The sequence below is a fragment of the Homo sapiens genome, chromosome 15, assembly GCF_000001405.40.
Source record: "Homo sapiens chromosome 15, GRCh38.p14 Primary Assembly".
Taxonomy (NCBI): domain Eukaryota; kingdom Metazoa; phylum Chordata; class Mammalia; order Primates; family Hominidae; genus Homo; species Homo sapiens.
This window is the reverse complement of record NC_000015.10, coordinates 60,832,582-60,855,826: the sequence shown is the minus strand read 5'-3', so window position 1 is coordinate 60,855,826 and position 23,245 is coordinate 60,832,582. Positions and strand designations below refer to the sequence as shown.

General features: G+C 45.5%; 1 protein-coding gene and 1 long non-coding RNA gene across 3 annotated transcripts in view; both read left to right on the top strand.

Moving 5' to 3' along the window:
- The window catches only part of RORA (RAR related orphan receptor A), a 741,019-nt gene that overhangs the window by 373,476 nt on the left and 344,298 nt on the right, over positions 1–23,245 (top strand). The gene's annotated exons all lie outside the window — the stretch shown is intronic.
- Positions 1,762–8,076, top strand: LOC124903500 (uncharacterized). The gene is made up of 2 exons (XR_007064666.1): positions 1,762–3,323; positions 5,887–8,076. It is a non-coding gene; the product is annotated as an uncharacterized LOC124903500 (long non-coding RNA).

The window sequence follows — 23,245 nt, the reverse complement described above, 5'->3', positions numbered from 1 at the left end:
TGGCTAACGTGGTGAAACCCCGTCTCTACTGAAAATACAAAAATTAGCCGGGAGTGGTGGCGGGCGCCTGTGCAGCTACTCAGGAGGCTGAGGCAGGAGAATCGCTTAAATCCGGGAGGCGGAGGCTGCAGTGAGCTGAGATTGCACCACCGCAAAATCCAGCCTGGGCGACAGAGCGAGACTTAGTTTCATTAAATAAATAAATAAATAAATAAAAGCAAACACTGCAAGAGAATAAATAATAAAGTGTAAGGGTCCACACATTCACCCTCTGGTATCTGAGTCACATTTTACCTGCACAAAGGCAGAGTAAACTCAGACACTGCCTCTAATTCTGCTGTTGTCCTCCCTCATAAGTGTATGACTAAATATGACCAGTTTCACCAAGTGGAATAATACTGCTCTGGTCTTGTCTCCTCAACATGGCTCTGTGTAGCTATAGAGAACAGAAGCACCTGGGGAGTGAGTCAGAAGTTATGCAGGCGCCTATACAATCTGTCATGTGGTTTCCATGTTACTGTAAAAGTTGATCCTAAGCTTTAGCTGTTCTGCTAAGCTGTGTCTCTCCATCTAGTTTGCAACATGAAAGGCCAGGAGACGTCTCATTCCTTTGATACCCAGTGTTCCAGGAAACTTTAAAGTACAGATTTCTCCCACATCTTACCAAATTGGCTGTGTCTCCCAAGAAGTTATATGCGGGCTAATAAAGCAAACAGTGCCGAGAGCATCCCCCATGTGGTCAGCCACACAGACAAGCACAATCGTAAGCTCTGCCCAGCCTCTGAGCCTGTCAGCTCCTTTCAGTTACTGTGCGATGCTCAAAATGACTACCAGCATCTTCTCCAGACCTGTTTAACAGGGACAGGCACAGAACTTTAGAAGGAAAACCCACATTGCTATGTTGGGCGATTCTGAGTTTGGAGTAGTGGTGATTCAATGATTGATTTCCTTCTGGAAAGGAAGGAGGCCAATACTTTAAACTGCCAAAGTATCATTCATGCCTCGTCCTCGATGTTTGGCAGGTTTAAACATCAAATACTTTATTACCTAAGTAATTGAAAAATGCCAATTGCCTTGAGCTAGAGAACACTTGGAGGGACCAATATCACATGCTAATATTCCAGTGACTTTTAGGGATAATCATCATAAGTATTTGTTATTTATGTATTTCTGTTGCTAGGAAGCTTAGCTGAAGTGCTACAAGTTGCTAATTTTGTTTCTGATACCTACTAAAGGCCATATTCAGCCATATGTTCATGTGTGTGCTGTGTGCCTTGGTTTATTTCCTTTAGTGTTTTATATATCAACCCAACGAAATAGTTCTGCATGTAGCATTTTGCAGATTCTGTTTATCATCAACAGCAAAAATTTTTCTCCCTGGATGGCCTAAATACAGAAAAACAACGTTACCTCAGAGTGGATAGGAGTAGAGATTTTCTCAGGGATAATGGATGATATTACTAGCTAATAATAATAATGATTCAAGTTATTTTTGTATTTGAATTCGAACTATGTTTGTATTTGTATTGTACCTGATCATTTATTTTTATTTATTTATTTATTTATTTGAGATGGAGTCTCGCTGTCGCCAGGCTGGAGTGCAGTGGTGCAATCTTGGCTCACTGCAATCTCTGCCTCCTGGGTTCAAGCGATTCTCCAGCCTCAGCCTCCCAAGTAGCTGGGCCTACAGATGCGCACCACCATGCCCAGCTAATTTTTGTATTTTTAGTGGAGATGGGGTTTCACCATGTTGGTCAGGATGGTCTCGATCTCTTCACCTCGTGATCCACCTGCCTTGGCCTCCCAAAGTTCTGGGATTACAGGAGTAAGCCACCACGCCCCACTGTACCTGATCATTTACTAAGAACTTTTCCGGTGTTTTTCCTCACATTTAATCTTTACTGGGACCTTGTGCAGTAGGTATTAAAGTCATTAAATTTCCAGATGAAAACATTGCGGAATTACAGTACAAGGATGGTAAAAGATTTTATAATATTGTCCATCAAATAGGGACAACAATTGAGATTTGAATGCAGGTCTATCTGACTCCAAGTCCAGTGTTCTTCCAGTTCTTCCTATATTTAAATTCTCCTGAAATTCAACAAATTAGTTAGTGGCATGGTTGCCCTTGCTGGGCCACAATGATTGGAATATTAATGGAACCACATGGCTAGCTCCCTGCACTTGTATCAAGGCCTGTCCAGGTATATCTGGAGCCAGTTTCCAAATTCAAAGGGTTGTCATGAGATGTTTTAATCGCTATTTTCTCCTTCCTTTTTGATGTCTTCTTGTTGGCAGTGGTATAGCCATTTGTTACGCACCCAATTAAGTCAGCAATCTTGTAGTCTTTTGTAGAATGTGGAAACTTCTCGTTTTATGCCTTGTGACTCTGCTTCATGGAACCGACAAGAGAGATGGCGGAAAAGGTTACAGTCACTCCATTTCTCTATTATCGTCTTCTGCTGAGAGCTTATCACTAATTTTGGTGTCAGAGCAACAGTCATTTTGAGACCTTATGAAAGCCTACATACTCCCCAGCAATGCAGACAGCCCCCCTGACCTTTGCGGCTGCAGATAATGGCCAAGGCTGTGGCACAGTGACCTTTAGGCCAAGAGTGGGTGGCAGCACTTTCTTTTCTGTGACATTCATTTTGCTTTGCCTCTGTTTGTATTTTTAATTGGAAGCGTGTACCGTGTGGATCTGCCTGGTTCTCCCCCTCCGCCCTGAACTCTGAGCAGAGAGATTGTGTCTGGCTGGCTCTCGTTATAAAGGAATGCTCTCAATGCCAAGCTGGGGGTCATTACTAATTGCCACAGCGACAGACACAAAGGATATTACCGGCAATCTTTCAGGGGGAGATGCTGTCAGCAGAAGAGGGCCTTTGTCCCACCTGGACCAGCCCATGTTTCCTTCTCATATTCATTTTACTCCCATGATCCCATGAGATGAATCAGGCACTTGAATTTTTTTTTTTCAAATGACATTATTTATTGCACCAGAAATCTTGTCATCCGAGAGGAACCACAGCCATTTAGGCCATCTCTTCAAGCTCCATCTCCAGTCCTTGTCCTTGATGATACTGTTTGCTGCAGACTCACCCCACATCCTTCATTTCCCTTCCAGGCTGCAGACAGCTTGAGCCTATTCTAAAGGTCTCATTATTTATTCTACTTAGTTCTTTATTATTTGCTAACTATAAAATATTCCCAGGTTGCTTTCTGTATGTTCATCTTGTTTCCTCAGATAGCTTTTTTTCACTACTTGTCAAAGCGAAGCTGACTATGAAAATTTCATAAGCACCTACGGTGTGCCAGGACCTATGGTAGGTATTTTATGTATATAGTTTCATTTAATCCTTACAACAAACCTGCAACTTAGGAGTTGTTATCCTCACTTTATAGACACGGGACTGGAGCTTATAGGCACTGTGAACATTACAAACTTGCCAAGCATCACGCACAGCTGTGCAGCTGGCCCATACCAAGGCAGGATGCCAACCCCTGGACATGGGTTGGGGAAAGGTGGGAAGAGGCTCAAAGCATGTATGATGTTAGCTCCTATAAGCCTCCAAACATGGACTACCTTACCCTTGTGTCACCCACCCGACCACGCCAGACACATCGTTGGTATTCAATAAGAACACCCATGATGGTGTCCTTAAACATGATGCTCTTCTGGCTGAATCACATAGGGACAGGCCCTGCACTGAGGTTCAAGCGCTGGTGTGCCATCGGGGCAGGGATCCCTCTGACAGGGCCTGTCAGGGATTGTGAAATTGGAAAAAGTCACAATAGTGTTGCTTGTTCCCCAGCTCGCTCAGTAAATACTTTACAATGTGGGCACACATGGATACCTTGGAGACTTGATGGGGAACATGGCCGGGGAATCCTGCCCTTCAGGGAGCTGAGACATTATCAGCACACACTTCCTACTTCCTCAGAACCATCCAGTGATCCGGAAGAAAAGTTCTCAGAACTTACGTCATTGGTAGAGTAAGCTTTTTGACAAAAGCTGGAGGAAGAAAACTATTGTGGGGAAAAAAAAAAAATCTCTCTCTCTCTCTCACCCACCCACTCACTCATACACACACACACTCTCTCTCACACACACACACACACATATAATATTGCCATAAACCAAAGCCACAGAATTGTCTTTAAGAAAGGACAGTTTATGGTAAATGCCAAGATTTACATGGCAAAAGGAAGCAAGTGCCAAGGTTTACCTCCTTCCCCTATTCAAAATTGCTTTTTATTTTCAGCAAACTCAGAGTAGGAGGTAGCAGGTTTTCTCCTACTTTGAGTGGTATGATTTGGATAGCCTGGGACCTAGAACACCCCAGCACCCTGGGACCTCACATGTCCTCCCCACTCTCCAGGCACCTGGCTGCCAACACATGCAACCCCGTTGAGGCCTTTCACGCTCACACCCAGGGGCCCTAATGTGTCAGAGGAATGGAGCAGTTTTGCCTTCTTGCACAGAAGGAACTGCATCTCCAAGGTGGCAGGATCCACACATAAGATTGTGGAAGCGGCTGACAAGGTGCTGTCATCTTAGAAGAAAATTGTGCTTTTATGTTCTGCAGACTTTTGAAATCCAGCTCCTGCTCATAAATTGCCGTGTAGCCATGTCAAGGATTATGGAGGGTTTTTCTATTTATGTGTGTATATGTACATCGTTGCTCCTGATGACTCAAGCGGTGGTGCTAGCAGGGAAGCTTGGTCCACCTCGCAAAGCGCTTAACAAGAGTCCTGACAACAGCAATATGTTACCACTTTTGTTTGTACTGCATCTTCACACCCACTCACTCAGCAACAGACTGAATGAAATGTGCTCCGGTGCTTTGTGTGAGGGAAAAAGAATGAAAATAATGGCCATTCAGGCAAAATAAGGCTTTTTGGTGCTTTTCAGAAAGCAGTCTTGTTTTCGTTGTTGTCCCTGTGTTCACGTAATGGCCTTATCCTTGTCTTTCATTGAAACATTCCCAAAGCAAGGAAAACATCTCACCCTGAACACAGAAGAATGCATGCTCTTAAAGTGATCAGCAGGGAAGACGTGGGCTGGGAGGATGCTGCACCAGTTGTCTACAGGGCTCCCTGCTCAGAGCAAGTTGATGGGCAGGTGACTATGGATGGGAAAGGGGCTTGCTGGAAACCAGCTCTGCTCTGTCTGGCAAGGCCTTAAGAGGGGGAAAACATGATCATCACCATCAATGTGCACATGAATTGGGCACTTACCATGCACCAGGCACAGGAGAGGGTGTCTCTTAGGCATCATATAATCTGCTCCAAACCCTCTCAGGAGGATATCATTATTATCCCCATTTTAGAGATGAGGAACCCAAAGTCTAGAGAGGTCAAGTAACCTCCCCAGGAGTCATGTGGAGTCAGGATTTGAATCGGGTACCATCTGACCCCCCGCTTAAACATCACACCAGCATCTTAAACACTACCTTAATATCCTCAGAATCAAACCTCCCATGCCTGCAAATTAGAGGGGTTGAGTCATGGATGAGGAGGGGAATTTCAGGGAGGTATACTTTGAGAACTGTTCCAAAGAGGGTTGTTCTAAGTTCCCTTGCTGGCTCATCTTTGGGCTGGAGGAGCTGCATGTTATTTCGACCCTAAACATGTGAGAGGCAGAATGAGTGAGGGCATCAGCCTGGATTCAGGTCTGGATTTCTTGGGACCAGCTCCATGAACACGGACTGTTGATTCTCCTCCCTGGGATTTGGCAGCCTGTGCGTTAGCTATACCGCCATGCTTGTTAAAATGACCACAGGGCTGGAAAATTATCTATGTCTTCCCTGCTCCTGCATCTTTCCAGGGAGTCCTCTTCATGATGACGTCTCATTAGTTGCTCATTTCTGTTTCTCTCAATGACAGGAAACCCACTGGAGCCACAGGGGCCTTTGAGACGCACCTCACTAGCCCTGAAGAGATTCTTCCCTTTGTGTGCAAGATGCCTCCTCCTCTATTCTCAGGCCATCCACATCCCACCAACCCTGATGGGCCCAACTGAAATCCCACCTCCTCAACAAAACCATCCTTGTGTACATGTTTCTTCCCAGCTCCACATTCAGAGACATCGCAATGGTAGCTTGAAATCAATCACTGTAGGAATATTTACACCACAGAAATTGGCAAACATTGCAAATCAGACCCTTATCTTCGCTGTTGTTTTGCAGGCTGGTTTATCAGCACATCACTGCTCATACCTAAAGCCCCACCACTCGTTTGGCCCCAACAATTAAAACCATACTTTGGCCATGTTTTATGATGTGCCCATGCTTGTCTCTCAGTGGAGACTGTAGGAGGATCATCAAGTTATTTGTATCTCCACAGCATCATCATGGTACCTCGTAAATAGCAAGTATTGTCCAATATCTGTATCTGTCAATGTTGTCCGTTTCATCTATTAATATTTGGGGTGTACTTTTTCCCTAAAAGTTTTCAGATGATATCCAATTGGCTATAAGTGAATGTTTCAAAGAGCTACTTGTCTGTCATGCCTTTCTTCATTCAACCATTTATTTATACCAGTGAGCATTTGCTATGTGTCAGGCATTAGTTCAAAGGCAAGAGTACTCAGAGGTAATCATAACATAGGAGGTCTCTGCCCTAGGGGAGCTCACATTCTAGTCAGGAGAGACAGAAAATACACAAGTAAACAAATCCACAAAGAAATTAGAAACAGTCTGATAGCAGCAAAGGATACAAAAAGAAGAACCCAGAAGGATGGAATAGAGGAGCTGGGGCATGGGTGGGGCACAGTCTCAGGTTGGGAGGTATATTGATTTCCTATTGCTGCTATAACAAATAACCACAAATGTTTTGGCTTAGAACAATATGAATGTATTCTGTCATTGTCCTAGAGGTCACAAGTCTAAAATTGGTTGTGATATGGTTTGGATTTATGTCCCGGTCCAAATCTCATGCTGAATGATAACCCCCTTTGTTGGAGTAGGGGCCTAGTGGGAGGTGAACAGATTATGAGTGGATTTCCCTCTTGCTATTCTCACGATAGTGAGTGAGTTCTCATGAGATCTGGTTGTTTAAAAGTGTGTGGCATCTCCCCCTTCACTCTCTCTCTCTCCTGCTCCACCACGTAAGACGTACCTGCTTCCCCTTCACCTTTTGCCATGATCGTAAGTTTCCTGAGGCCTCCCCAGCCATGCTTCATGTACAGCCTGTGGAACCATGAGCCAATTAAACCCCCTCTCTTTATAAATTACGCAGTGTCAGGTAGTTCTCTGTAGCAATGTGAGAAAGGACTAACACAGGTTGGAGTCCTGCATTCCTTCTGAAGGCTTCAGGGAAGAATCGTATCTTGGGCTTTTCCAGCTCCTGGAAGCCACCTGCATTCCTTGGCTCATGGCCCTGCATCTCTCCAATTTCTGCTTCTGTCATCACACCTCCCTCTCTGACTCCCCTTCCTCCCTCTTTTTCCCTTATGAGGACTCTTGTGATCATATGGGGCCCACATGGATAACCCAGGATCATCTCCCCATCTCAAAATTCTTCCTCCTTTGAGTCTCTTTTGCCATGTAAGGTAGCATATTCACAGGTTCCAGGGATTAGGAGGTGACATCTTTGGGGGCCATTATTCTTCCTACCACAGGAGGTGAGGGAAGGCTTCTCCCAGGAGCTGCCACTTGAGAGGAGACCCACACGACAAAAACAGATGAGGGGGACAGGCTGCAAAGATCCTGGACCTGGCAGAAGCCTGCAGATTCTGAGGAAAATGCCAGCATGACTGAAGTGAGCAGCAAGCGGGGGCTGGAGGGGGAGGCAGGGCCCAGGTCCCTCTGCATTGCGGGAGCCAGAGAAGGAGCGCAGATTTCATTCTGAGTGCAGTGGAACGTGGGCAGAGGGCTGGAGAGTTGTGTTCTCACTGGGCTAACTTGTACATGGATGAAGACAGTTTCTCTGGCAGTTGTTTAGAGCAGTGCTGTCTGGTAGAAATACAATGTAATCAGATTTGTCAGTTTAGATGTTCTAGTAGCCACATGTTAAGAAGTAAAAGGAAACAGCTGAAATTAACCTTAATAAAACATTTTATCTTTACCCAATCTATCCAAAGTATTATCATTTCAACGTGGTATCAATATGGAAAACTTATTAATACGATATTTTATATTCATTTTTGTACCACATCTTCAATATCTAGTGTGGGTTTTATGCTTGAAGCATACCTCAATTTGGACTGGCCATATTTCAAGTGCTCGACAGCTACATATGGTTGGTGGCTACTTTTGGATAGTACATGTCTAGGCACTGTTCTCAGAATCCAGTGCAAAGTCTACTCAAAGGTGTTCAGAAAAGCAATGAACAGTGCATTGTCACGGAACATATGGGCCACCTGTCACTCCCATCAGCCATCCCCAATTCCAGAGGTTCTGAGTAGGCCACAGGAAGTAGGGGATGGAACAGGAGATTCTAGAAAGGATGTGTCCTCTGGTGAAGCTGATGAGGTTCAGCCACAGACTCTGATTAGACTCTTGCCTGGCTGCAACCTCCGAGAAACACCCTGTCTCTGTTTATTTCATAGATATCTAAGTTCACCTCTGCGTTCACCCTTATACCTTTAATCCTCAAGGGAGTTTCAGCCAAAGCCCGATTTTTTTCCCATTTCTTTATAGATAGGGCCATTTATTCAACTCATTATACTAATATTACTGAAAACAAGGGCAGAGGTTAAGAACAGGAAAAATTCAATGAAGCAATGAGAGGGTATCAATTGCTAGGACAAGAAGTATATTCCAGGCACTTTTAAGCTATACCCATGCTCTCTTGAGCTCTTGCTGTGACCCTGATATTAACCATAAAAGTATAGCCCAAAAAGCTTGGTACCAAAAGAGCATCATGTATATCCATTTAGATTTTTACAGTGATATTAAAAGGGGTTATGAAACAGAAAATAAAGATCTGAATTAAACATTTAGGTCATGGTGGTTTTGCATAAAGTCTAGTATGTGAGAAGCATATTCGATACTGCACAAGACAATAAAAACAATAGCAATGTTTATTAGAATATCCTATTTAGAACCAGCAATCTGTGCAACATACTCAGCTTTTAGGAGATGGGCTGGCCCCGAGTTTCTTTCCGATGATGGATTTGGTGGGCTGGCATCTTGACCCTGTCATCCAGCCTGCGGGTACCATCAAAAGGCAGCTTGACCATTTTTGATATGTAGTGACAAAAGCTCTAATGTGTGAGTACAAAGGTGCCTTCTGTGAGTGCTTTGGTGCTTTAGCGCTTCAGTCAAATTACCAGTGGCTCTAATTAGTGTTCCTGAAATCTGGAGCAATCTATATCTGCATTCCAAAAAGGGGTGGAATGTTTCCCTCTGATAACACATTAGTATGAGTCCTTCCTAGATGGGTGTTCTGAAATTATAAGGACGTGATAGTGTGGAGGAGAAGCAGTTACGATAGAGAAACCTGTTGCTTTGAAAATCAGCAGTGATCTTTGCAATCAGCTGATTAATAAATATTTATACAGTACCTATCAAGTGCTACACTCTGAAAAAAATAAGTATGCAATGATAAATCACAGTACGGGCACCAATGTGGTTCTGACCTGGAAGCGAGTAGACCTGAGCCCTGACAGCCACTTACGATTGCTGCTATCTTTGGTTTAATCATTGTATAGCAGAGACAATAGTTATTGTCTCAACCAAGATTCATTTCCCTAGGACAAGTTACTTTATCTCTCTGGACCTCAAGATTAAGAGGGTCTGAAGGGATCATGCTGGTGGTGGTAATAAAAATAGCTTCACAGCTGGGCGCGGTGGCTCACGCCTGTAATCCCAGCACTTTGGGAGCCCGAGGGGAGCGGATCACGAGGTCAGGAGATTGAGACCATCCTGGCTAACAAGGTGAAACCCCGTCTCTACTAAAAATACAAAAATTAGCCGGGTGTGGTGGCAGGCACCTGTAGTCCCTGCTACTCGGGAAGCTGAGGTAGGAGAATGGTGTGAACCCGGGAGGCGGAGGTTGCAGTGAGCGGAGATCGCACCACTGCACTGCAGCCTGGGCGACAGAGCAAGACTCCATCTCAAACAAGCAAACAAAAAAATGGCTTCACATACTGAGGTGTATAATTGTGCTAAGTACTTTAATGCGAATTAACTCATATATTTCTAAAGCAAACTCAACTAGAAGATGGGTTCTGTTAGTCCCAATTTATAAATGAGAAAGCTGAGATTTAGGTTGTGTGACTTACCTGAAATCAAAGAACACCGACTAATGCCAGAGCTGAGATTCAGTAGCAAGTTTTAGAGCCTGTAAAGCTTCCAATCGGCACCCCCGGAAGCTCATCCCAGCTGTCACATTCTGTGGATCTGGGGACCTTAAAGAATCATCAAAAGATTGCCTGGGGAAACGAAAAGGTTGAAAACTGATGGGGGAAACCATATTTCAGGGAAATAGGGACGAGGCATTAGCAGAGCTTCAGAGAGGAGAAACATACCATCGTCTGTGGCTCAGAGAATTCAGAACCTAACTACATCAGAATACCGTGATGCTGAAATGCAGTGTGTCTTTCTGGGACACACACCGATAAATCAATGCTGAGATCTCAATTTGTGTTGACGTAGTGATGGTCATTCAGCAAATGAGCCTTCACATAGCAGGCAGTGCCACCCGGAAAGGCACTTCAAGGTTGCTGTATGACAACTAGTCTCACCTTCTCAACCTTTTCATTTTATACCAGTGTCAGCCACAGCTGGAGGACTTGTGAATTTCACTTTAACTATAATATTTAGTGAGGACACACACACACACACTCACACACTGGCACCCACAAAGTCTTCACTTTGAAACAAGGGTGGGTTTGGTTTCCTTCACTTATACAACTGATGCCTACCAGGGATATTTTTGTTTAGACGGCTCATTGGCCACAAACCGTTTCATTATGTGTTGCCCAGTTACCTTGGCTTCCTGCACATTCTTTTGAGCAGATAGTTCATCTCCTTATCTCAAAGAATTGTTTCCCCAAGTGTAGCCCTGGAGCCAATAGCTTTGATACCATCGAGGCAAGAAGGCATTAAACCACCTTTTTTGTAATTGTCTTAGTCTTACTTTTTCATGTCTGTTTCATGAAAAGTTGATGTGGTTAGATTTAAGCTGGGCCTCGCTGAGGGTATCATCTGTGCCTGGGGTTACCCACATCATCACGTGGCTTACCTTCCTTTGCAGTATGGTGATCTTATCTTCTTTGCTGCTTCTTGCCATAGAGCAACCAGCTCCTTCTAGCTCCTATGTGTGTGTGCATGCATACAAGTGTGCATTCGACATGCGTGGAGGCTTGCTCGTGGCAGCAGCTTGTAAAATGACACTTTACCATTCAGAATGAAAACTGGCTGGTTGGGGGCCTTTGCTATACTCTTAGGGGCAAACGACAACAACAACAACAACAACTCCTTCATTGGCTTTTCCATTTGGGAACTTGGAGCAAAGTTTTCCTTAAGTAGATGCATTTCTGTGTAGTTTAAAGTAGTAATTCTTTTGTTCCCTCTGTGTCCCAGTAACTGAGCTGACAACCCAGGGTACAAAGATGAATATGACTGAGTCACTGTCCTTGAGAGAGCCTCAGGACAGCCATAGGAGAAAACATGTTAACAAATAGCTAGAATTCAACTCAGGAAGGGCAGAGAGGTGCCAGGAACAGAGTTCTCTGGGAAGACAAGTGAGGGGACTAGGAGAGAAGAGCCAGAGGAGGCTATGAAAAGGAGCAGGCATTTAAACTCCATCCTCAAAGTCAAGTGCAGGTTTGCCAGTTAAAGAGGGGAAGATATTCCTGGTGGAGAGAATAACCAAAAAAAAAGTAAATGAAGATGTGAAAGTGTGGGCTATGTTTCCTGTGCCCTGAGCAGAGTAGGTATATTAGGGTGAGGCTGTAGAAAGATGGGCCAGCCCAGCTGAGGAAGGACTTAGTGCATTATCCTGAGATGTTTAGCATTCAGGGTATGCTTTAAGATTCAATCCAACAAGTGCACCAGAGACCCAGGAAAAGCAAAAAGAGACATTCACGGACCTTGCCAAAATGGAGAACTTTGCCTTCCCCAGCAAGACAGGGCTGTGCCAGCCGTTCTGTCCCTGGTTCTGACTCAGCCTTTGGCTTTCTTTTCATCAGTCATTTAACCCTCCGAGAACCTGGCTTGCCACGGTCAGAGTGTGAATCTTGAAAGCGTCCTTGACCCCTCCTGACAACTGTAAAGTCATGGGAAGAATTGCTCTTGTAACTCATCTTGCCCTTGGGCAGCTAGTGGACATTTGACCATGACACGTGTAACAAGAACAGTTGGTTTGTGTGGCTGCAGCAGCCACATCACAGGGAGAGGGAAAGAGCTCTCCGCCTGGGAGAAAAGGCCTTGGGAACTGTGTGGGCTCTACCACTCTGATACTGAATGACCTTGGACAAGTTATTTCTCTCCAGGCTCCGATGTCCTCACCTGTAAAATGAGGTACCTGGACTTTATGGCTACTAAGAGGCCTTTTCTCCCTTCTACCGTGTCTGATTCTGCCTTGACTCTTTAATTTTTAGGAAGTTAGAGTGCAGGAGACTGACCAGGGAGCGTCTCTGCTTAACATGGGGACTCTGAGATTTGTGCATGTTTGTGCTTTGAGCAAGGAAAAAACAAATCACCAAGTGGCCCAGCGAGGTTGTTCCTTCTTCCATTTCCTTGCAGCAGAACAGCAGGGGGAGGGAGAGCGGCAGAACCCAGCTTCTTGGCTGAGTAGATCTTGGGTTTGGACATTTGGAGAATTACCTTAGGAATGGAGTTTCACGAGGGGTGTGGTGGGTGAACGAGAAGGGTGGACAGAGAAAGAGGCTGCTGCAGGATGCAGAGAAAGAGCCCACGTTTCAAATGAATACAGCCAGCCCCAGCTCTTCCACCACCCACTCTCACTCAGCAGATGTGGCGGGCTGGCACTCACTGCCCATCTACTTGAAGCTTCCTGGGCTGCGTGTCTTCTTTATCCACCCGATCTTCTACTTTGAAGGCTGAGAACTTTCAGCTCATATGGATTGAGGACTTCTTAGAGCTCCTCTGCCCCAGGCACCAGTTTGGGTTTGGGAGGGGGTGACCATGACAGCCCAGGACCTGTGTGGAGGGTCGGGGGAGGGGTGTGACAGCAGCACAGGGCATCCGTTCAGGTAGAAGGGGCAGTGAAGGGGTCAAGAGCATGGGTTTTGACATCATAAGATCTGCAGTCCAATGCTCACCACTGACCACTGACCCACTGTCAGCCTTCTGAAGCTGCTTCATCTCTACAGGCCTGAAAATGGAAAGTGCAAGTAATGAAACTTCATGTAGGACTCTTGTGAGAACTAACTCAGGAAGCAATGCTTAACGCTGTATCTGATGTGTACTAAGTGGCCCATAAATCATAAATGGTAGCTTTGAAAATATCTATTATGATTAATGCTTTGAACAGTAAGTTAGGGTCAAGATGTAGAAGTTTCTGTTTGCTGAGACTAGGTATTTGGACTTTATCCTGCAGCCCATGGGCAGCCAAGGAAGATATTCCTGCAGGGATGATATTAAATAAATTGCTGTTTGGGGAAATCTTCACCTGTCATCAGTTTGGGGAGAAAGGAGGAATGTTGGCAAGGAGGCTCTGTCAGTATCCAAGCAAAGTGGACGACGGCCCTGGGGTGGTAGAGAAGGGAAGGGGGTGGAAAACACAAATTCGTGAACTTTAGAAAGGAAGATGGCTGAGGAGCAAGGGATGGGTCAGCTTGGCAACCACAGAGAAGGAAGAAGGGGTCAAAGATATGTTTTGAGAAGGCATCCGTGATGGCAGTGACCCAAACTGTAGTGCGAGGGGAGGAGAGACAGTGCTGTTCTCTCTCCTGGGGGAAGGCCACCATCTGGGATCACTGGACCCAGGTCCCACGCCCCCAAGGGCACTGCTTGGCACATTGATTCATTTGTATCCTGCTTTTCTCAAAAAGGTTTGAGGCTGTTTTACACCAGATACAGTGGATGGTTTCTACTTTCCTCACAAGTGACAATGAGCTGAAACTGTGACAACCAAAAAAAAGGAGATAAAGGGCGGAGCACAACATCATGACGGGGAGGAGAGAACGAGGGCAGAAAATGGACTGACCAGGTGTGTGGAGGGGTGTTGGCTCCACCTGTCCACTTGTGGCCTTCGAATTATTCCATCATTTCTAATCCACTCCCTTTGCGAGGGAGGAATCCCTCCAGGAAAAACAGAAAAACCAGGTCTTTCTCAATAGCATTTTTACTCTTCCTTTCCTGTGCAATGTCAGAAGCAATGGCAGGGGCCTCCTTCTCCAGAACCAATACAGCCCCCAAGAAAGGAGAGAGAGAGAGGGAGAGAGAAAACAAGAAAGAGCCACAGAAAGGGAGAGAGAGACAGAGAGAGCCCATTGCCAGTAGGCACTGCCAGGCGAGCTGCTGGTTGGATGGCTGTGGCCGCGGCAGCCACAGGACGATCCAAATTGTGGCTTTGCTTCCTCTCTCTTTCTCTTTGGTAGCACACAATCACTCAGCCCTAGATTCCTCTGTGTTTCATACCCAGGAGGTCAGGGAGGGCACCTTGTAGTGCCTGAGGCCCCGAGAGGGTTCACAGCCACCTGAGAAGTGTTTGCAGTCTATGGGTGTGTGTTCTTTCTCCAAGCTGTGTCAGCTGTGGGATGGCGTGGAGAGAAAACAAGAAAAAGTTGTTTCCCTCAGCTCTCTGCTGAAAAAATGCTCACGGGGAGTCAGTCAACATTTGGTAAGTACGCTGAATGTTTTTACTTTCAATGCCTAAATTTCTCTGGCTTCCGTAAGGTATCGTTGTCGAGGAAGGAGGTGGTATTGTCGCTACCCTCCCTCCCCGTGTGGTGTGACAGCAGAGATAGTTATCTCTACACCCAACTCAGTGTTGCTTTTTTTGGGTAACAGCTTTCGAAAAACTATCGCCTGGGCTCCAGCTGGTCAGGCTTCGATGGCAGTTGCCACAGTGCCAGGCAGGATGCTTTGTCAGTCAGGCTGCCGGGCCACGGAGACAGGATTAGGGGATAATGAAGGCATCCTCCCCTTGTCACAAACCAGAAGCTAAGCCCCCCATTCCTGGGATGTCCAGAGAGGCTGGGTAAGAAGATGTGCTGTGAACACAGAGCTCATTCGCTCTTCTCCTCCTTCAGCCTAGCAGTGGCGGGACACATGCAGTGTCCCTCTCTGGAGGGAAAAGGCAGCTGAGCAAACATCTCACTCTCTTGATTCTTTTCTAAATGGGACTCCTGAGGTCCAGAGTCCTGAACCATCTTTCCCAGAGCCAAGCCTCTGCTGGTGAGAGTGGGGACAGGGTTCTATGAGTCATGGCTGCAAATCCATTGTCTGGAGACTTCTGGTTAAGGGCAAAAGGCCTGGCTTCACAGCCACAGATCTGAATCAAATCTTGCCTAAGAACCTGGGGAATTTTGCCTTCACCTGGCCCCATGTTGAGCTCTCAATCTCCACCAGGCCTGTGTCAGAGCCCTCTGGGGCAGGTGCAGAGGACACTGGCTGAGAGGACCAGGCACCAGAGGAATAGGCATCCTTCCTTTCCCTCTGATGAGCCCTCCGAGTCAAAAGTGGACCACCCAAGAAACAGGCTGTCAAAGGAAACCTAGTTCTCATACTAAGGCAGCAAGTGAGGTGAACCCCAGAAACAGTTCTAATTGCTGCTGCAGACCCAGGTCTCTTCCTCCCTCTGAGAGCCATCTTAGGCCCAATTCTACACACTCAGACCCCGCCCATCATCACAGCTTTTATCCCTTGGCTGTTCCCAGACTCTCCCTCCAGCCCCTGCCTGCTACCCACAACAGGGCGTAACTCTTACTTCCTCCTCCAGTCTCGGCATCTGCCTTCTCTATTTACATTTTAAAATGTTTTTATTTAAATAGGCAAACAGCAAAGATCTAAGAGCACCTACTAGATGCCAGCCTTCATACTAGACACTCCATACCTGCACATAGACATATATGATATATGCACATATACATAAGCATGGGATTTTATTTCCTCCCATGCTTCTGGTGCCTGTAAGTGAACACAGGACAGGGCCACTGTGTCTCACAACTCCATGGGGAGTCATTCACCGTGTAGGCTGTACACTGTGCTCTAGCCAGTGCCAGTCTCATGGAATACAATGGTGCTCTCTGGAGTTACAAACTCATTATACCTACCCTGGTTCCTCTCTGCCACGTGCACTGTACAGATGTGCATTGATATAATGCAGTGAGTAAGGGTGTGATTGCTGAACTCCAGGCAGACTTGCATTCAAGTTTGAGCTAGACTATCAATATGCTGTGTGGCTTTCTGTGAGGTATTTAATCACTCTGAGCTTCCTAGGAGATATTAGGTTGGTGTAAAAGTAATTTCGTTTTTTGCCATTAAAAGTAATGCATTTATTTTTAGTGTGGTTTGATAAATTAAGTAAAGAAATACAAATGAGATTATTCAGTGAGGTACATAAATGGTCAATATGTAATTTCAATTATTATCATCATCTTTAATGTGATTATTGTTTAGTCAAAATTGTCATTATATTCATTAAGGGTACAATATATTAATACTATTCTTACAATGCCTGACACGTAAGCACTTAAAAAATATATGTTGAGGCCAGGCGCGGTGGCTCACGCCTGTAATCGCAGCACTTTGGGAGGCCGAGGCAGGTGGATCACGAGGCCAGGAGATCAAGACTATCCTGGCTAACACGGTGAAACCCTGTCTCTACTAAAAAAATACAAAAAAAAATTTAGCCAGGTGGGTGTGGTGGCGGGCGCCTGTAGTCCCAGCTATTCAGGAGGCTGAGGCAGGAGAATGGCGTGAACCCAGGAGGCGGAGCTTGCAGTGAGGAGAGATCGCGCCACTGCACTCCAGCCTGAGTGACAGAGTGAGACACCCTCTGAAAAAAAAAAAAAGTATATGTGTGTGTGTGTGTGTGTGTGTGTGTGTGTGTGTGTGTGTGTGTTGAATGAATGTTTTGAAGGATGACCAGGTGGAAAGCCAAATGCTCCCTTGAAAGGAAAAGAAGAAAATTGTCTGGGGGAACTGAGTTAAACCCAGAAGACACTGAAGTTTTTAACATGATTTTGGTTAAACCATGTGCCCTGGAAACTGAAAGCAGGGAGGGAAATCTTGAACTGGCCACACTTTTTGATACCTACAAATAAAAGACGCCATTACGTCTGGTGTGAGTGGGGTTCCCCATGAACCTACTGTGGCTTCTGCCACTTTTTTTTCTAAAGAAAACTTCAGAAAGAGGGGTCTTTCAGTCTGGAGGTTTCAGGTCAAGTCTCATCTTGCACAGAGACAGAGTGGCAGCCCTGCACCACAGAGGCTGGCCCCATGGCCCGGTGACCTGCTGCCTGTCTGCTTGGACAGCATACCCTCAGTGGGGCAGGTGGCAGGATGTTCCTCTTTCCCATGCCAGACATCTGGATGTCTGGAAACAGCTGGAGAGCTTTTTCCCTTTCTGTTCCAGATGTTTGGTGCTATGTGGTCATAGAGTAAAATCCCCAGCCCAGGCCATGTCTGGGTCAACAAATTACACCTGTTTTCTAGGGTTGTTGGTAGATAAAGCAGACTCTAAGGTCTGGTGTGGAACAGCATGCTGGAGAGTAGGGGTGGCAGAAACAATAGGATAGAGGTCTAAGGGGGTAGGGAACACAGCTCATCCCACCACTTGGGATGGCTCGAGTGGATCTCAGAGGCAGTAAGAACAGAGTCTGTATTCAGAGAAGGACTTGGAAGCCAAGCCTTGAAGGATCTGGATGGTCCACTACGCTCCTCTTCATGGGATAGAGCCGGGTTGTTCATTTCTAAAAGCCCCTTCTCAAGTATTTTCAGACGTTTTCTCTGCCAGCTCCCATGCTAGGCAACAAGGACACAGACATGAAGGAGGCAGCTCTTGTCCTTCAGGCTGTACCTTCACATGCCAAATGCCTGCATGCAAAGCGGACAACTCAATTGCTCCCAGAGGTGTCCAAATATCCAGGTTTTTGTTTTTTTTTTCTGGCAACCTGAGAAGAAACAATCAGATGCTAACTTGTTTAGTGGAGCCGTTTATGATTTCACAGCGGATGAAGACAGTAAGGACTGTGTCCCCGGTGAGCTCTTTAGCGGGGGAAATGGTGCACAAGGCTGTGTTCAACAGGGAAACCAAGGGCAAGGCTACAGGCCAGCCTGAGACATGACTTAGAGTGGGTGCGCCCCTACACTCCAAACAGGCTCCCCATGGAAGGCAGGGCAGGAGGTGGCGATTTTCTTGCTTTGTGTTTTTCACATGTGGAACTTGTAGTACCTGCTACCAAGCCTGAGCCTGTATTGACGTGTGCAAGGAGGGGTGAGGTTGGCAGTGTGCTGCGTGCGCATTGATTGATATATGTGCATCCTTCTTGCTTCGTAATTATTAAAGCCCCACCTGTAGAGGAGCTGGTGTTCGCCAAGCTTCATTTCACATCTGGAATCACCTCAATCAAATAGGCTTCATTTTTTTCCTAGTCAGTTGCTTTTTCTAATTTGATATATTGACACAAACATAGGAAATATGGGAAAGAAAATGAATAAGAAAGAAAGAGTTTCAGTGACAGGAAGGAAGGGCCAAAGACAAAGTTCAAGAGGGCCTTAAAAGTCAACGAGGGGGTGCGGCATGATGGCTCATGCCTATAATCCCAGCACTTTGGGAGGCTGAGGTGGGAGGATCTCTTGAGCCCAGGAGTTTGAGATCAGCCTGGGCAACTTAGCAAGACCCCATATCTACAAAAAAAAAAAAAAGGTCAAGGTATGAATATGAATTTTGTATGTGAGCATGAGTTTAGGGAGCCACTGAAGGATTTTTCAACAGGGAAAGGCCCTGGTCAGATTTGCTATGTAGAAGCATTGCTGGCTGCAATGTACACAAGAATGTGGGCTGGTGCCTAAGAGTAAAGCAAAAGACATGGACAGCCTAACCTAGGAGAGTAAAGGTGGGAGGGCAGAGGGGGGAGCTGATTGGAGGATATTTTAGGAGAGAGCTCATGGAGTATTCAGTGACTAATGGACATGAGCTATGATGAAGAGGGCTGATGGTAGAGATTCTCAGCTTTCCTGCAGGGGTTAAATGGAGGCGTCTCCAGCTAAGACGGAAAACCTGGGAAACAGTAGGTTAGGCAAGAAGGCTGAGTTTGATTCTGACAATGCTATGTCTGGAGTCCCCGCTGAACGTGTGGGTGGAAGTGTTCAGGGAGCCATCGGAGAGGGAGCTTAGACCCAGGGAGAGCTCTGCTTAGAGATTGATGCTGGGGATTTTCTTAGTGTCCAGGGAAAGTGTGGAGCATGGGATGACCAGCCTACTGCTCAAGGAAGCCTGTGGGACCTTCACTTCTGGACAGGCAGAGAGGGAGGAGTCTGTGGCAAGGATAAAGAATGGTCCGAGAAATTCAAGGACAACCAGTGTCCTTGAATTTACATCTCTTCTCCTTCTGTCATTGTACAAGTTTTAAAAAATCCAGAGCAAGACGGAAGTTCCTTTTTTTTGTCTCCTCTCTCCATCTGCACATAAAGCAATGTGGCCAGCCCAGATCTTTGAGGGATGTTTCAAGCCACATCATAGTCCTGCCTGGGGGTGCTCTTTTCCCACGGAATGACATTTACGCCAGCACATGCTGACTAACGGTACACCACATAGACTAGACTTTCGGCTAAATGCCATCTATTTCAAAAACAAACCAAGTTTGCATGTAAACTGTTGTGACCAATGCTTAACCATAAGAAATATGCCTGTCACTGGTGGACACCCTAAAAGAGGTCAGTGTAATGAAGTAAGTAAGTGATCGGGCAACACTCTAGGTATTCATGTATGCCTTGAGTATCGCAGAACTTGAGTTTTGCAGACAAAAACAAATACCAGGGAAGCTATTTGTTTTTAAATCAGTAATAAGTTTTCATATCAATGCCAATTCTTGGAGGTAAGGTGAATTAATAATATTTTCTGGCTTTAGAGTTGAATCAAATGACAGAGGCCAGTCATCTACTTGGTTGCATGTCAGAATAGTAAACCAAAGCAGAGGATCGTAACGATTCAATAGCTTGAGTTCAAATGTACAAATAAGCTACTGAGGAGTTTGGACAGGGAAGTAAGAGTCAAAGACCTGGATCAAGGCTCCCACACCCCATCCTCAGACTCTTCACCTGTAAAATAGAGATGGTCATAACCTGAAATCACGATTGCCATGAGAGTTATATGTGTATGGAAACTGCTTTGTGATGTGAAGTGAGTTGGGCACAGGTCGTTTTCACTGGTGTCTCACATTCTGGGGAAGACTTCACTTTTAGGTATATCTCCTGGCTCTGGAAGGCCAATCAGAGAGCTGATGGTGTTTCTGTAGGTTCTGTTTTTGAAATCTTTGGTCCACACAGTTTTTGCTTACCCTCTTCGTTTTAGTAACGTCAGAAAGATTATATGATTGACTGATAGAACACCAGCAACCCAGAGAGATATTGTACCATGGCCCCAGGCTATACTTTCCATTTTTATTAAAATTCTTATTAACTCATAGCCCAAGAGCTTTTAAGCCAAGCCTGATCTCCTTTAGGGCCCCTTGATTTGATCAGAGCAATTTGTGTGCAGTGTTCTGGTCCCACTTTGTGCAGATGCAGCCAAGACAGCAGCCAAATTATGTTATTCTGAAGTGACTGGGGTGTCTCTCCCTTCAAAACCACTTTCCCTTACAATACCACTGCTACCCGGTCTTGTAGACACTTGAGCTTCACAATTACAAGTCCACGTTCTGTGTTTAAGAACCTCCAATCCCTTTAAAGCTCTAAATATATCTAGGAAACATAACTACTAATCATTTATAATTCAGTGATGCCGAGCTTGTCGACTCCTATTCTGAAAACAAAGATAGTTTTTTTTTGGAGGGAAAAAAAAAATCCTGCGAAGATGAGGGTCCTGAAGGAAAATATACTATTGCAGTGTGAGAGGGGAAAAGGGGAACAAGCAAGGAAAACTCGAGGCATTGGGCCTAGGTCTCAGCATTGTCGAGGGGTCGCTGTGTCACTCTCAGATGCGAACAAAATGACTTCCCCTCAACAAATGCGCAGCCCCTCATCGGGGGATGGAAGTAGGTCCATTGGGCTGCTGGGCAAATCTGCATCTGAATTCTTCCCCCATGGGCTTTGTGATGCTTTTTATCCTTCAGTTGGTGTTTGCTTAAGTGGCCTCACTGAATTTCTCACATTTATCATTCCATTAACAGGCAGTCTTAAGCTTAATATCATCACCTTGGTAATCTGCCAAACTAGAGAGCACCTGAAAATAGCAACTCTCTTTGCAGCTTGCTGAGTAGAAGCCACTTCTTTCTTGGCATCCTAGGACATATCTGGGGCCATTTTGATTTTTACTCGTGTTCATGTCAAGGTATGGAGCACACGGACTTGAGGCTGAGAAGGGTGGTGCCGCTGTTCACAGGAACTAACCTTGGATCTGTAGCATTATTGACTTAGACTTTATTACCATGAATTAAGGAGTCATTTAGCTTTTAAAACCACTCAGAAATGAAAACATGAGAGTAAGGTTCAAGGTTGCCCCTGAACTGGGGTTTGAGACCTCAGTTTGACATGTACCGCTATTTTGTGCCTTCTTTGCATTTGAAGGAGATGTCCAGGCAGAGACTTTTCTATGCAGTTTTATAATATTTGAGGAACTGTTATTTTTACCTTTTTTCCTCATCCATTGTACAAAGATTTATGGGGCTGTCATTCACTACATCCCCAGCACTGTGGTAAGCATGCTAGGGCTGTCCAGTGGGACATTAGAGAAAGGATAGCTTCTGAAGAACAATTAGCATGGCTAAGGTGCTTACTGGTTGATGATGTATTCCTATAGTGTCCAGTTCTCACAACCTCATGGTGCAAAGGCAGAGGAGTTATAATCACCGTCACATTATAAATGAGGAAACTGACATCCAAGGCCACCCAAGAGGCAAGTCTTGGAACCCAGACTTCAGTCCAGATCTTCTAACTCCTAAGCTATGTTCTCTCAACCACTCTTCCTCCCTGGATCTTAGAACCTTTCCAGAGATACAAGACTTAAATACATGAAAAAGACAGTACAAAGATATTAGTAATTATATGCCAAATTCATAGAGGTGTTGCCAGATTCCAGAAAAGGATGAAATCATGGTAACAAAAAACGGTAAAGGAGATTGGGCTTGGTGGGTTTGGTGAACTTAAGGGAAAAGAGAAGAGTTTTTTAACTGGAGAGTAGCAAATGAGAAAGGGACATAGAAAGGAAGGACCCAGGAAGAAGACTCATTTGGAATCGGGTGGGATGTAATCTGTAATCCCAGCACTTTGGGAGGCCGAGGCAGGTGGATCACTTGGGGTCAGGAGTTTGAGATCAGCCTGGTCAACGTGGTGAAACCCCATCTCTACTAAAAATACAAAAATTAGCCAGGCGTGGTGGTGCATGCCTGTAATCCCAGCTACTGAGGAGGCTGAGGCAGGAGAATCACTTGAACCTGGGAGGTGGAGGTTGCAGTAAGTGAAGATAGCACCACTGCACTCCAGCCTGGGCAGCAGAGTGAGACTCCGTCTTAATAAAAAATACAAATAAAAAAAGAAGACTCGGCTGGGCATGGTGGTCATGCCTGTAATCCCAGCATTTTGAGAGGCCGAGGCGGGCGGATCATGAGGTCAGGAGTTCGAGACCATCCTGGCTAACACGGTGAAACCCTGTCTCTACTAAAAATACAAAAAATTAGCCGGGCATGGTGGTGGGCGCCTGTAGTCCCAGCTACTCAGGAGGCTGAGGCAGGAGAATGGCATGAACCTGGGAGGCGGAGCTTGCAGTGAGCCGAGATCACGCCACTGCACTCCAGCCTGGGCGACACAGTGAGACTCCGTCTCAAAAAAAAAAAGAACACTCAGTTGGGATGGAACAGAAGGTTAGATGGGACGAGGAGAAGGCTGGATGGCGGGAGACACAGTGTAGGCATGGTAACAGCAGGAGAGAAATGCCAGGTAAAGCCTCGGACTTCAGTCCTATAAAATTGCCCAACATTTTTTCCTCAACAAAATGTGACAGATGATGTTTTTGGGAATGACACTTTTCCTCTGGCATATTTAAATTTTGATGAATCGACTCTCCACCCCACCTCCATTTTTTTTTTCATCAGCAAGGTAAACTATGCAATTAGATACATTAGTTTGGGTATAGATGTCTAAGAGTATGCTACAAACCTCAAAAA